Source organism: Homo sapiens, chromosome 17, assembly GCF_000001405.40.
Source record: "Homo sapiens chromosome 17, GRCh38.p14 Primary Assembly".
NCBI classification, from domain to species: domain Eukaryota; kingdom Metazoa; phylum Chordata; class Mammalia; order Primates; family Hominidae; genus Homo; species Homo sapiens.
In genome coordinates this window covers 45839132-45852773 of record NC_000017.11, presented here as the reverse complement: position 1 = coordinate 45852773, position 13642 = coordinate 45839132, and the positions used below count along the sequence as shown (strand labels likewise).

Sequence of the window (13642 nt, the reverse complement as noted above, 5' to 3'; positions counted from 1 at the left end):
TCTTGGCTCTGCGGTGGTGCCCTGCTTACCACCAGGCACCCACCCACACACCACATCCCAGTGAGCGTGGGCAGGGGAGACCAAGGGAAGAGGATGACTCCACTTCCGGGAGCTCATTTGGGGAAGACGGCATTTGGGGGTATGTCAGGTGCTGTCCTGGAAAGTTTTTCCCCAAACCTGGGTCACACGTAATGAGATAATGCATTTATCTGCCCTGCTGTAAGTGCTTAGCCAGTGTTAGCTGTTCATACACATACTTCACTTCATTTAATCCTTACAACGAACCATTAGGTGAGTCTTAGCAGCCCATTTTACAGATGAGAAAATTGAAGCTCAGAGGGCTGGCTTCTGTTGTCCAGCATCACATGACAAGAGAAAGCAATGTGGGGCTTTGAACCCAGGTCTCAAAGTCCAGCTGTGTTCTCCTTCTAGCTGGCAAGCGGATTGATGCTGAACCTTTATCAAGCAACACACACAGATACTTCTCAAGGAGAATGTGGGGCTATACCTCCCAGGGCACAGGAGTGGGTAGACCCAGAGTTTTCCTGGGGGAGGTGTGATTTCAGAGGAACAAAATCAGAGACCAGGGTGTGTGGAGGGAGGGGCTGTTGAGGATGAGAGCTGGTCCCAGCTGCTGGGCTGGGAGGCAGGAGACCAGACTTGCATTTCGTTTCTGCTGTCCCATTGCTGTGTGACCTTGGGCAGGTCCTGGCCCTCTCTGGGCTTTCCTTTCCTCATCTGTGGATGAGATCATCTCACAGGTCCTTGCTGGTCCCCACTGTCCCAGAAATCCAGAAGCTCCAGTACTAAACCCTCTCATGAACAAAAGAAAACCAAGCCCATGCTCATAAAGCTGGTGCTGGGATTACCAAGGTCACAGACAGAAATGCCAGTTGGCCTGTGTAAAACAGCTCGACCCTGAGGCTGGGCCACCTGGGGCCCTGGGGGTGGCCTTGAGGAGGCTATTCCTGCCCTGGTCTCATCTGAGGGTTCACCTATCACAGGTGAGGCTGTCCAGGAAGCAGGTGCTGTGGTGGTTAGTGGTGGAGCCAGGAGGAAGCAGCTTGCAGCACGGGGAGCCGGCAGCCTGGGATGCAGCCCTGTGCTGCCTCTGCCAGCCCATGGGATCAAAGCAAAGACCACTCTGGGTGGAGACAGCCAGGGCCTGGGCCCCTGTCTTGCTCAGCCAGTAACCGGCCCTTTGTGCCCCCTCCCCTGAAGAGCACGAGTGAGCCGGGCTAGAAAGCTGAGGTGCCCCCAGGAGGCTGTCCTCGAACCACACTCCTCAGAGCAGCTGGGCAGCGAGTTCTGTCTTGAAGGGGGATCTGTTCCACCAGGAAAGGGGTAGGCCTGCAGGGAGGGACCTTGACCACCCTGTCCTTTGGGATGGGAAATCCAGGGATCAGCACCCCCACTCCTGTAAGCCCAGGAAAGGCCTGGTGGGGAAAGGCTGGATCTGTAGGGAACCACACGCAGCAGGTCAGAGCCCAGAGGTGTGTGTGTGTGTGTGCACGTGTTGGGTGTGAACAGGTGTGCACGGGGCATGTGCATGTGTTCAGTACAGGTATATGTGTGTGGATGTGCGCATGGGTGTATATGTGTGCAGGTGTGGGGTGTGGGGGTGTGTGAAGTGTGCAGCATGGGTATGTGCCCATGTGTATATGTATGTATGCAAATGTGTGTGCATGCGTGTGTGTATATGCCCATGCGCAGTATCTTGTGTCCCTCTGGCATTCAGGCAGGGGCTTCCAGCTTTGGGCACCGCTGGCAGGTGGCAGCGTGGTCTGGACACCTGGAGTTGGCCCTGTCCTCTGGGAAGAGGACTGGCAGAGTAAGAGGAGGCCTCTGGGCAGGAGTAGGGACATTGGGCCATCAGAGGGCACAGCAGGGGCAGCAGGGCAAGATCTAGGAGACTTGACTCTGTGCCGGGCACTGGGCTCAGCTCCTCACCCATATGGCTTATTACTTACCACAACCCCTGGGGCAGGAGGTGTTATTACGCCCACTTTATGGTAAGGAGACTTTTGCATCCTCAAAGTCACACAGCTAGTAAGGGGGACATTCATCCAGCCAGTGAATTCATTCAACAGATGTTTTATTGAGCACCTACTATGTGCCAGGTCCAGTGCATGATGAACAAAACAGGACAAAGTCTGCCTCAGAGGACATGCTAGAGAGTGGGGTGGGGGTTGAGAAATGTGGCGGTTAAGTGAAGATTGTTGGTTGGTAAAGTTGCTTCAATTTCTCCTGCCCCAGACCGGGATTGGCCAGGGGAGCAAGGTGGAGGTTGAGCCTCCGGGTGTGGTCAGGTGTACCCAGGGCTCAGGGAGGGGAGCCTGCAGGGCCCCCAGCTGAATGTGTATGTCAGGATGGAAGGCAGGACCTGCCTTGGGCCCCCGGCACCTTGAAGCCTTGGTCTCCCTCCTCCCCATCTCCTCCTGGCCCAGCCAAGACAAGAGGCTGAAGCCAAACTCTAAAGGTGTTCACCCTGGGGTGGGGGTGGGGGTCCCTCAAAATGGTTGATGCCTGGTCCCACCCCAGACCTGTCAACTCAGAATCGGTGGGGCCAGGAATCCAGATTTTTGGCAGGTGCCCCAATGATTCTGACCTGCAGCCGTGCTTGGGTGCCTCTTTCTAAACCCTCAAGCTGCCTCTAGACCCAGAGTCCTTGCCCAGCCCCATCTGTGAAATGGGCAGAGTTGCTGCAGAGTATTCTTGGGAGGAAGAAGAAAGGTCCTGCCCATCACCTGCCTCCAGCCCCGTCTCCACACTTGTTTCCTGAGCAGGGCAGAAGAGCTTGGAGGATGTAGGGGTGTGTGGGGGGACTCACATAGTTTTTCCAGTTCACACGTAGAAGGCAGCTGTCCCTGTGTCTTAGCTTGGGCTCCCTGGGAATGAACCTCAGGAGCATGCTGGGTGGGAGGTGCTGGGCAGTGGTCTCAGGGGAGATGCTTGCGAGGGAGTGAGGTCTGCAGGAAGGTGAGGATGAAGCTGGGCCTCGGGGCCGGTTGGCTGGGGCCCCAGTGAGCCCTCGGGAGCTCTGGAGCTGGGGTGTCCTTCATAGAGGTCCCCGACATTGGTCAGTCCTGGCTGTGGCCACACTAGGGAACCAGCAGGGGGAGGGGGTGGTGAAACTTAGGTGACTAGGACGAATTCCCAGTGAGAAGCAGAGCTGAGAGCTACCTGGGCACTGTGATGCCACTGCACCCTGGGCTGCTGTCCACCCCAGGCCTGGCCTTGGGACCCTGTGAGCACCTCAGTTCTGCTGCCCAAGCACAGTGCAGCAAGCTGGGGGTTGGGGAAGAGGGATGGAGGCAGCAGATCCAGGCCGTGTGGGCCCTCACCTCCCCATCAGGTCTGGATGCCGGGAAGGGGGAGGCCTCCTGACCCAGACCCTCCCTGAATCCCCTCTCCTTGGAGGTAGGCATTGGCCTCCCTGCAGGCCTGCGGAGCTCCAGGCCTGCATCCTCAGAGCCCTCAGACTGGATTTCTGGGAAAGAGAAGTTCCTTTATCCTGACCTCCTGCTTTGGGGGATGTGGGGGCCAGGGAGCCCAGGAGGCCTCGGCTCTGTCCAGCCCTTCCCATCGGGCCTGGCAGAGGGTGCAGCTGCCCTCGGCAGGCCCCGTGACGCAGGCCAGCAGCAGGGAGGCTGCCCAGGCTGGGGCTGAGCCAGGGCCTGCGGAGGGCCCTCTGTCCAGGCCAGATGGCCACTGCTCCGGTGGGAGGGGCTGCCAACACCTCCGCAGTGGCCTGGCCGGGTTCTCCAAGCTTCCCTTGTCTAGCGGGCCTTCAGCTGCTGTGTACCGAGAGGCTGCACTTCTTCCCTGGCAAGCGGGGCTTTGAGAGGCCCACCACCTGCACTGCCTCCCTGGGACTCTCTCCCCACTCCAGGGCCCAGCCAGGCCTGCCAAGTCTCACGTCAACACTGACCAAGGTCCTGCAGGAAGCCTGTGAGGTGGCCTGGGCAGTGGGGCCTTCCCTCATAGCATTCCCTCCTCTGCAGTTCAGGCTGGTCAACTCCTCATTCATTCATTCATTCATTCATCCATCCGTTCATTCCTCCAGCAAATACATCAAGCACCTGTAACACTCCAGGGGCTGTTCTGAGCCCTGAAATTACACAGATGAACAAGATGGGCAAGGCCCCTGCCCTTCCAAAGCTGGCCCTCTACCGGGGAAGATCGGAAAACTAAAGGTGCCTGGTCGTGTGATTGAGACAGGGATGCTTTAGGAAAGGCTGCGAAGAGGAGCAGCCAGCCAGGCCAAGTTCACGGGGCGTGGTAAGGAAGGGGCAGAAAGAGAGTTCCAAGAAGAGGAAAAAGCATGGGGGGTGTGGTGGGTCTGGCGTGTGCTTGTGGCGGTAGGGGTTTGGAGGGGTGGAAGAGGGCCGTTGGGCTGGGACCTCAAGGTCTTGTAGGAGCTGGGTTTGAGTCTGTGAGGCTTTCACTAGGGGAGCAATATAAACATAGCTCACGTGCAGGGGGCTCTTCGGACAGGCAGGGCATTGTGCCAATCACCTGACATAGGCCAACTCGTTCAAACTTCCTAAGAACCAGATGGTAGGTCCTATTATCCCATTTCACACACAAGAAAACAGAGGCACTGAATGGATAAGTCATTTGCTCAGTGAGATACTCCAAGTCAGTGGTAGGGCTGGGATTTGTGGTAGGCAGCCTGGCTGTAGAACCCTAACCACTGAACCACACCGCCTCTTGGGATACACTTTCCTCCCCTCCAAAAACACCTCCTCCAGGAAGCCTTCTCACCCCAGAGTTTGTCTGCTCTGATTAAGCAACACATCAGCACCCTACATGGCCTAAAAGCCTGTAGAGTCCTTAGGAGGTCATCTCGTCCATGCCCCTGCCTCCAGATGGAAATGGTATTATAAGTCTCATTTTGCAGATGAGACTACAGAGACCCAACGAGGCTTGAACATTACTTAGAGTCAGTGAGGGAGGCCTTGGTCTCCGGAATTCTTCCACCCTGGGCCCAACCTCTCCAACCCCTCCCGACCTCTTTGAGACAATTCTAAGTTTGTTTCTTGTCTGCCCACCCCTCCCCCTCCCCCAGCTAGACAGAGGCCTTCCCTGTGCCCACCACATGGCGATGCACATAGTAGGGGCATACTCAATGCCTGAAGATGGAATGGGTGGTGCATACAGGAACTTGCTGGGCTTGGTGCTGCTGCCTGGGATTCTTGAACAGAGACGTTTTGCAGAATGGATGTGAGCTGAGGAGTAAAGGATGCTTCGGAATCTTCTAGTGAGTCAGGGAGCCAGGCTGGAGTGTTTCTGTCTGGAGAGGGAAGGGCATCCCAGCTGGAGGGAACAGCATATGCAGAGAGAGCGGGTGGGGAGGACAAGGAGTTCTGTTTGACCTGAGCATGGAGAGAAGATGGGCAATGAGCCTAGGGTGGGTGGCAGGGATGGGATGGGGGCTGTGTGCCAGGCTAAGAAGCTGCCACTCTGGATTGGGAAGGGGTTGGGCAAGCAGGCAGAGGGGAGTAGCTGCCCAGTGAGCCCTGGATGCAAATCCCGACCTTGCCGCTTGAACTTGTGCAAGTCATAGGCCCTCTTGGAGCCTCAGTTTCCCCCCTTCATTATTTGGGGGTGGTGCCCACTCCTAAGGACCCTTCGAGCCCTGCACACTCTTATTATGTGGTTGCTGCTCTCTTGCACTCCCGACAAACAGAGAGACTCCTTGGGTAGATATGAAATCTCTTTGATACCCTGATTTCTTGTTGCCATGCATGGCTTTGCTCTGCAATGTTCCACCAGCCCTTTGAGAGGCGTGTGTCCCAGTGCCTCCAGTTCACAAGGGAGCCTGGGTCGACATGCTCTTTCTTACTTTCAAACCCTTCCTCTTGTGGAGTCCCGCCCAGGGCAGGCCAGTCTCGTGGGCCTGGGCCTGGGCATGGACATGGCCCAGCTCTGAGGGCGGGGGCATCAGGGGCATGAGTGGGATCAGCATGGCCATTGGCATCAGTGGCATCAGCTCCTCCGAGGCCCCAGGGGGGATGAAGGGCAGCTCATTAGGATCCAAGTGGGCGTCACTCCAGCCCTCGGAGCTATCACTGCGGTCCTCTGGATTGGTGGCTTCATTCTCAGATATGGTGACAATCTCAGTGGTGTCTTCTCCAGGGTTGCTGTCTAAGTCCCCTGCTCCTCGGCTGGTGCCTCTCTCAAGTGTGCTGGCTGTGTGGGCATCTGCTGCGCCCTCCTGCTTCTGCCTAGAGCCAGCTGAAGGGGCACAGCCGAGCCCACACATCTTAGCTCTGCCCTGGCCAGTCCAGAAGAGGCTGAGCTCTTGGCGGCAGGCAGCCACAGCCAGGCTGGTGAGCAGGGTGCTGGACACTAGGTAGAGCAAGGCAGGTTGGCCCATCTGCATGAGGACCATGGCCATGAATGTGACCAGCAGGCCCACAGCATAGGCCACGGTGCAGGCCACGAAGTAGATCTGACGGGAGCAGACTTGCACATCAAAGCGGCAACAGTAAGCAACCAGGAAGCCGGGGACCACAATGTCACCGAAGCCAAGGATGGAGAAGGGCTGGCTGCACAGGGTCAAGGCGGAGACTCTTAGCCGGGGCACTTTGAGTACCATGGGCAGCCTCTCATGGCTTGAAGACTCTGCAGGGCCCAAGGCAACCTGCGCCATGATGCTCTCACCGGTTTTGGTGAAGAAGGGGGTGACGAAGACAAAGAAGACATCAAAGGCCAGCAGGGCCAGCAGGAAGGAGGAGCAGTTCTTGAGAGTGGGCAGCCGCACACGGTGCAGGACGAACAGGCAGTAGGAAATGCCCAGTGTGTCCTGCAGGAGCCACGCCCAGCGGTCCTCATTGCGGTAGGCCACCCAGAAGATGATCACGGTTGCGCACAGGCTCGCCAGCAGCAGCAGAGGCAGCGGCAGAGAGGCCCAGAGGCTGTGCGGAGGCCTCTGGTATTGCCGCAGGGACAGGCGGCACACCAGGGGTGACAGGCAGCTGTAGAGGCCAATGCCAGCACCCAGGCCAAAGATCCCAATGGTGACATAGACAAAGTGGTCATAGAAGAAGTAGAGCAGCAGCATGAGCGAGCAGGACAGGGTGACCACCACGCCTGTCATGGCCGGCGTGAAGTCCACTGGGATGTCCTCATTATCTTCCTTCTGGGCTCCCTCAGCTGCTGCAGCTTCCTGCAGCTGATGGTGACCACCAGACCCCCCTCCTCTTCGGGCACGGCGCCGCTGTAGCCGGTTGGCTTCGGTCAGGCCGGCCCAGTAGCCGCCTGCAGCCACTGTGCCCACAGCCAGGATGAAGATGACCAGCATGTTGTAGTCGATGATGGGCTCTGGGGGTGCGTACATGGCCACGCGGACGACGGCCTCCCCACGAGTGTGGCTGAGGATGTCCAGCATGTCAGCATAGTGGAGCATAGCCACAGGGATGGTGAGGTCTGCCAGGGGCTGGCGGGGATCCTGGGGTGCCAGGGTGGTGTCTGAGCACTGTTGGTCACTGACCCGGCTCACGATGAGCAGCCCGTGGGCACCTTGGCCCTGAGCCAGCCAGCCTTTCGTGTGGAAGCTGCAGTTACCCCTCATGACCATGGCAGTGGTCTGGCGGAGGGGCCGCTGGCTGGGGGAGCGGAGCTGGGCCTGGTGGGGGGAATCCTCACCCGGGCACCAGGGTGCCTTGGTGCCATCATACAGGGGCAGGAGTGGGGCGTGGTGCAGGTCCCGGGGGAGGGTGATGTAGTCGGAGCTGAACAGGATACAGTAGTCCTTGCTCCAATTCTCCGACACCACGTGGGCCACGCCGTACTTTCCCCCGGCCACGGTGCTGATGAGGAGGAGGAAGCCCACGGGGAGGAGGAAGCCCAGGCACGCCATCTTCTTCAGTTCCTACTGCAACATCTGCGGGCGGCAGCCCAATACCCCTCCCAGGGGCAGGCGTGGCCCTTTGTCACAGAGCAGTCTGGCCACCTGTCCTGGAAACCAGGGCCACACCTACCTAGTCATAAAGCTGTGTGGTCCCCAGCCGAGGGCGCTGCTGTGGGGCACAGGGTCCCTCTAGAATGATGCCCCCCAACCCTGGGAGACCAGGGGAGAGGTCATATGGACCCTGCTCTCTGCCCAGACCCTAGTGGGTTTAGACCAGGTACTTTGAAATAAAAGGTGTGAGCATGGGGTTTGCAGGCCAGATAGGATTCTGAACCAACTTTTCTCCTTACCCATGGGGAACACAGGCCAATGTCACTCCTCTCTAGGCCTGTTTCTTTAGCTGTAAAGAAATGAGGACGTTGGGCCAGAGAGTTTCTAAGGTCCCTTGGAGCTCTGAGCTCAGTAACATTGAGCACTTTTACCGAGGGCTTACTAGGCGCCAGGTACCCTAGCTGTACCTATTGCACAGTTGCAAGGAGGTGTCATTATATCTGCACAGCCTGAGGCTGTCCCTCAAAGTTGGTCCCCATTTCTACCAGGCACATGACCAGAATTCACCTCCAACTCCATTTACAGTTGGGAACGGACAGGTGACCAGGAGAAATTAAGCAAAAATGATGTGAACTCTTTACATCAGGGGCTTAGGCTGACAGACCGTGGGGCTCCTGGTTTACCCTCTCTTTCCCTTTCTCAGGAGTCAGAACAAGGACGGGCCTGTGATGTGTCTGTCTATGACGAGGAGGACAATGTCCTAAGGAATGGAGAGGAAGAAAGTGAAGGGAACCAGGTCCCTGGATTCCATGTGGAACAGTAGCCCAGGATGTGCACTATGGACTGTTACAAGAGAGAGACATGATCTTCCTTAAGGCATTGATTTGTCATGAGTCTCTTTGTTATAGCCACTTAACGTTACCTTAATACACCCACTTCATGGATAAGTAAAACTGAGGCTTGGAGAAGCCCACATTGACACAGCAAAGAAGGCTGGGGCTCTTGTGCTGGTTAAATGGACCTTGATGTCTTCCAAATGTTTTCATGCTGGATTCTGAGCCACTCTCCTGGCTGCAACTCTGAGGCCGGGCAGACTTTCCGCTGGAAAGAGAACTCAAATACTGGTGAGAGGTGGATTTGAAGCCAGGAGCCCCAGGTTTTGGCTCTGCAGGTTTGCACCCAGCTCTGTGGTGTATGCCCTCACAGGTCACCCAGGACCTCCTGTCCAGGCTTCTTCAGGCCACCCATGATGGAGTAGATTTGAGGAATGAGGTTTTCAAAGCAGTTAGTGTGCGGGAGAGTAACCCTGGGGCCTCCGGAACCAGAAGGGAGGGATTTGGGGGCTGGAGCTTGGCAGTCCAGGTTCCATTGTCCTCATGTTCTCCCCACTGGCCTGGCCTGTCACTCCAGTCTCTGCATAGGTTGTCACATGGCATTCTCCCTGTGTGTCTCTGTGTCTCTTCTCTTCTTTATAAAGACATAGTTATAATGGATTAGGGCCCACCCTAATGACACCATCTTAACTTGATTATGTCTGCAAACACCCTACTTCCAAATAAGGTCGCATTAACAGGTACTGGGGTTTAGGACTTCAACATGCCTATTTGGGGGCACAATTGTGGGCAGCCCCACAACACACATGTAATTTTAACCTCTAAGGAGTAAGCATGCTGATTTTTTTTTTTTTTTTTTTTTGAGACAGGGTCTTGCTCTGTTGCTCGGCTGGAGTGCAGTGGCACGATCTCAGCTCACTGCAAACTCCACCTCCTGGTTTCAAGCAATTCTCCCCCGACCCAGCCTCCCGAGTAGCTGGGATTACAGGTGTGTGCCACCATGCCCAGCTAATTTTTGTGATTTTAGTACAGATGGTGTCTCACCATTTTGCCCAGGCTGGTCTCGAACTCCTGGCCTTAAGTGAATCGCCCACCTCAGCCTCCCGAGGTGCTGAGATTACAGGCACAAGCCACTGTGCCTGGCCAATCACTGATCTTTCTCAAGGACTCTCCTTCTTTTCTCTTTGAGATGGAGTCTCACTCTGTCCCCTAGGCAGGCTGGAGTGCAGTGGCACAATCTTGGCTCACTGCAACCTCCACCTCCCAAGTTCAAGCGATTCTCCTGCCTCAGCCTCCCAAGTAGCTGAGATTATAGGCGCCCACCACCATACCTGGCTAATTTTTGTATTTTTAGTAGACATGGGGTTTCACCATGTTAGCCAGGCTGGTCTCAAACTCCTGGCCTCAGGTGATCCAGCCACCTTGGTCCCCCAAAGTGCTGGGATTACAGGCGTGAGCCACCGTGCCTGTCAAGGCCTCTCCTTCTATTACGGGTCCATCTCTTGCAGTCCCAAACTGCTTTCCTTGGGAAATCCACAGGGATGAAACATCATCTCCAACATCAGCTGTGGATTCTTTGAAGTGGAGGGTGAGTTTAAAGGGCCATGTGAAGTGGTCAGCAAGTGGAACCCATCTGAGATTCTGACAATTCTCTCTCACCCAGTTATTTACACTCATCTCACCCACACCTAATTTGCCAATATTTTTGGTGACTCATTTGTAAAGTATCCTTCAAAGCATTAGACTGAATTTTCATAAGAAACATCTCTCCTTGTTAGTGCACTTCTGATTCATCAGTAATATAACATTTAGTTAGATTACGACAGTAATTACAATGACAAGTGAACTGTCAGAAACATGTTCAGGAACAAATACAAGTGACTGGCAAACAAACCACCAGCCGGTGTGAGGAGAAGCAGGCAGAGCCCAGGGGAGGAGGCTGCCAGCTGTCCCTTCCGAGTGCTCCCATTTCAAAGGGGAGGTTGGCAGGAGGGTGGTTAGGAGAGGGAGGCTCGCCTGTAGGCCACAGGAGGGCTGTGACAGTAAAACCCTTTCTGGCCCCCCAGCAACGAATGGGCAACCTAGACCCTCACTCCAGGCCCTGTTCTCCACGCAGGGAGTCGTGGATCTTTTAAAAAACAAGAACCAGCACACCCACTTTGTCACAAAACCCAGACAATCACAAGCTTTGTCGAGGATATAGGGAAGTTGGGACCCTCATACACTGCTGGTGGGAATGGAAAATTGTGCAGCCGCTGCAGGAAACAGCTTGGTGGTTCCTAGATAAGTTAAGCAGAGTTATCATATGACCCAGCACTTATACTCCCAGCTATATATCCCAAAGAATTGAAATCAGGCCTTCAAACAAAAGCGTGTACATGCATGCTCATAGCAGGACTATTCATGATAACTTGGAATAGGTGGAGAGAACCCATATGTCCATCCACTGATGAATGGAGAAACTGCGGTCTCTCCACACAAGGGAATAGCATTCAGCCATAAGAAGGAATGACGTTTTGATACCTGCTACCATGTGGATGGACCTTGAAAACATTATGCTAAGCCGAAACACATTATGCTAAGTGGAAACACATTATGCTAAATGAAGACGCCAGACACAAAAGGACACATATTGTACGATTAATTCCACTTACGTGAAACAGCCAAAACAGGCAGATCTACAGAGGCAGAGAGCAGATTCGTGGCGGGCAGGGGCTGGGGGAGGGGAGAATGAGGAGTGACTGGTGGGTATGGGATTTCCATCTGGGGTGATGAAGAAGTTCCAGAACTTTTTCTATCTCAGTGGTTTCAGTTGCACGACATTGTGTATTTAAAGTCACTGAATTGTGCACTAACATGGTTGAAATGGGACTTTTTTTTGAGATGGAATTTCGCTCTTGTCCCTCAGGCTGGAGTGCAGTGGTACAATCTCAGCTCACTGCAACCTCCACCTCCCGGGTTCAAGTGATTCTCCTGCCTTAGCCTCCCGAGTAGCTGGGATTACAGGCATGCACCACCACCATGCCCAGCTAATTTTCGTATTTTTAGGAGAGACAGGGTTTCACCATGTTGGCCAGGCTGGTCTCGAACTCCTGGCCTCAAGTGATTCACCCACCTTGGCCTCCCAAAGTGCTGGGATTACAGGTGTGAGCCACAGCGCCCAGACGAAATGGAGCAACTCCAGTCCCCTCCAGCTGCTCTCTCCTCAGGACAGGTCTCATTTTAGTTCTTCTGGACTCCATCACACCAGCACATGCCCCAATTTGGGGGTCTGCACAGACACCTCAAGCAGAGCTTGCTCCTGCCCCTTCTCCCAGATCTACCCGTGGACTGGTTGCCCAGGGCCCAGATAATTCGCAGAAGGCTCATTCCCTCCGAGACTCTGCCTGGGACCCCACTCACAGAAGGCTTTCGTGGGTATGTTTGATCATTGCTTCCCCAGGTCCCCCATCCCTGTGCCCACCCCCATCCATCAGCCCTGGAATCATTCCTCTGGTGGCCACTCAGAGCACTGGTCAGTGCCCTCACATGAGTGGCTGATGCCCCTTGGGGCCATGGCCCACTGCCAGGCTGAAATCCCGCTCCAAGACTTCAGTCCCGCCACCCTCCCCACCCCCACTCCAGATTCAACTCCTTTCCTGGAGGGCACCCCCTGTATCTGTGACTTTGCTCCCCACAACTCCCCCTCCCTCCCCCCACCCTACTGCCCCCTCAGCTATGGCCTGGGCTCTCGGGGTGGCTGCCCAGAGCAGGCTGGGGTAGTGTCTCTGCCTTCTACTTGAGGACCTAGGTGCACCTGGAACATTTATCTTCAACACACAGGGCAGCAGGGCCAGCAGGCCCCAGGCAGCAGGTCTCAGGAAGGGTGGGGAAGGGGCCTAGTTCACCTGGCCCCTCACCTGCCCTTGCTGCCCTGCCCAGCAGCTTCCCCGCTGCATGTTCTAGAGTGGATTGCCATCCACTCCCTCCCCCTTCCCCTGTGATGAGGATGAGCCAGGCAGGCCCACCAGCTGCTGCCCCCATGCCCCCTCACCCTAGCTGATGCCTGCCGTGCCCCCAACCTGGGCTCCTTAGGCACCTAAGAGGCCACCACCCCTTCTTCTGCTCCACCTGCCTTGGCCCAATGGGCAATGAGGCTGGGCAGCAGGGATCAGTCAAGGACCCCTTGGAGGGACAGAAGCCGGTAGGGCTGCTATCTGGCAGCCAAGGGTGGTCTCTGGCCTTATCTCCAAATAATAGTCTCATTGGTGTTCCCAAGCCACTGAGAGCTTTGATAAATATATATGGCCCAGGCCTCTCTTGAGCCTGGTCTGCCAGCAGGACCTGCAGGTGTTGGTGAGCTGAGGGCAGGGGTGGGAGGTGATGCTCTGAGGTAGAGCTGGGATGGGGCTGGGGACGGGAGACTGGCAGGTGGAGCTGGCTTGGAGGCCAGATTTGGGGAGTGGGCTGCCCGAGGCCCACGCTCCGCAGGCTCCAATTCCTTCAGCTAGCTCATCTCTGAATGCTGTTTGACCACAGACTGGGGATGGAAGGATTTCCCTGGGGAGGGGATTGGAAGGGGCAGTGGGGCTGGGAGGACAGCCTTACTAAGAACTCCCACTGCATAGGGGTTAAGCTTCACGGATGCCTAGTGTGGCCTCCCTGGCTTTTCATCCATCCGTGGGTGCCATCAGGCAGGTATCTTAACCTCTCTGGGTTTTATTTGCCTTATCTGTTAAATGGGGATAACAGCCCCGCCTCATAGGGCAGTATAAAGAGTCAATGAGATAAACATGTGAGGGGCTAAGCAGCACCTGATGCCCGGTAAACAATCAATAATGATCAGTGTTGCTGTTAGCAAATTGTAGAAAGCATTCTCCTCGGTTTGAAGCAAGTGTGGGCAGCTGAGTTGGAAGTCAGT

General features: G+C 55.7%; 1 protein-coding gene and 1 long non-coding RNA gene across 2 annotated transcripts in view, besides 3 other annotated features; one reads left to right on the top strand and one right to left on the bottom strand.

The window, feature by feature from the left end:
• Positions 1–9418, top strand: part of MAPT-AS1 (MAPT antisense RNA 1) — a 52158-nt gene extending 42740 nt beyond the window's left edge. The window contains exon 2 of the long non-coding RNA NR_024559.1: positions 8613–9418. This is a non-coding gene — a long non-coding RNA (MAPT antisense RNA 1). The remainder of the gene's footprint in view (positions 1–8612) is intronic.
• Positions 5707–7893, bottom strand: SPPL2C (signal peptide peptidase like 2C). Its single transcript, NM_175882.3, has one exon. The coding sequence runs from the start codon at positions 7865–7867 to the stop codon at positions 5813–5815; it is 2055 nt and encodes a 684-aa protein (NP_787078.2). The 5' UTR covers positions 7868–7893; the 3' UTR covers positions 5707–5812.
• Positions 6003–6986: an enhancer, noted in NCBI's record as "H3K4me1 hESC enhancer chr17:43923154-43924137 (GRCh37/hg19 assembly coordinates)". NCBI's record gives its function as "activates a minimal SCP1, AML or CMV promoter by ChIP-STARR-seq in primed H9 embryonic stem cells {active_cell/tissue: H9 hESC(primed)}" and the evidence as "EXISTENCE:reporter gene assay evidence [ECO:0000049][PMID:30033119]".
• Positions 6987–7971: an enhancer, noted in NCBI's record as "H3K4me1 hESC enhancer chr17:43922169-43923153 (GRCh37/hg19 assembly coordinates)". NCBI's record gives its function as "activates a minimal SCP1, AML or CMV promoter by ChIP-STARR-seq in primed H9 embryonic stem cells {active_cell/tissue: H9 hESC(primed)}" and the evidence as "EXISTENCE:reporter gene assay evidence [ECO:0000049][PMID:30033119]".
• Positions 12117–12326: a silencer, noted in NCBI's record as "fragment chr17:43917814-43918023 (GRCh37/hg19 assembly coordinates)". NCBI's record gives its function as "represses an EF-1alpha promoter that drives an FKBP-Casp9 reporter gene in an ReSE screen in phorbol 12-myristate 13-acetate-treated (for megakaryocytic differentiation) K562 erythroleukemia cells {active_cell/tissue: K562(+PMA)}" and the evidence as "EXISTENCE:reporter gene assay evidence [ECO:0000049][PMID:32094911]".

Coding starts and splice junctions, on each gene's coding strand:
- SPPL2C (NM_175882.3), bottom strand. CDS start 7,867: ATGGCGTGCCTGGGCTTCCTCCTCCCCGTGGGCTTCCTCCTCCTCATC.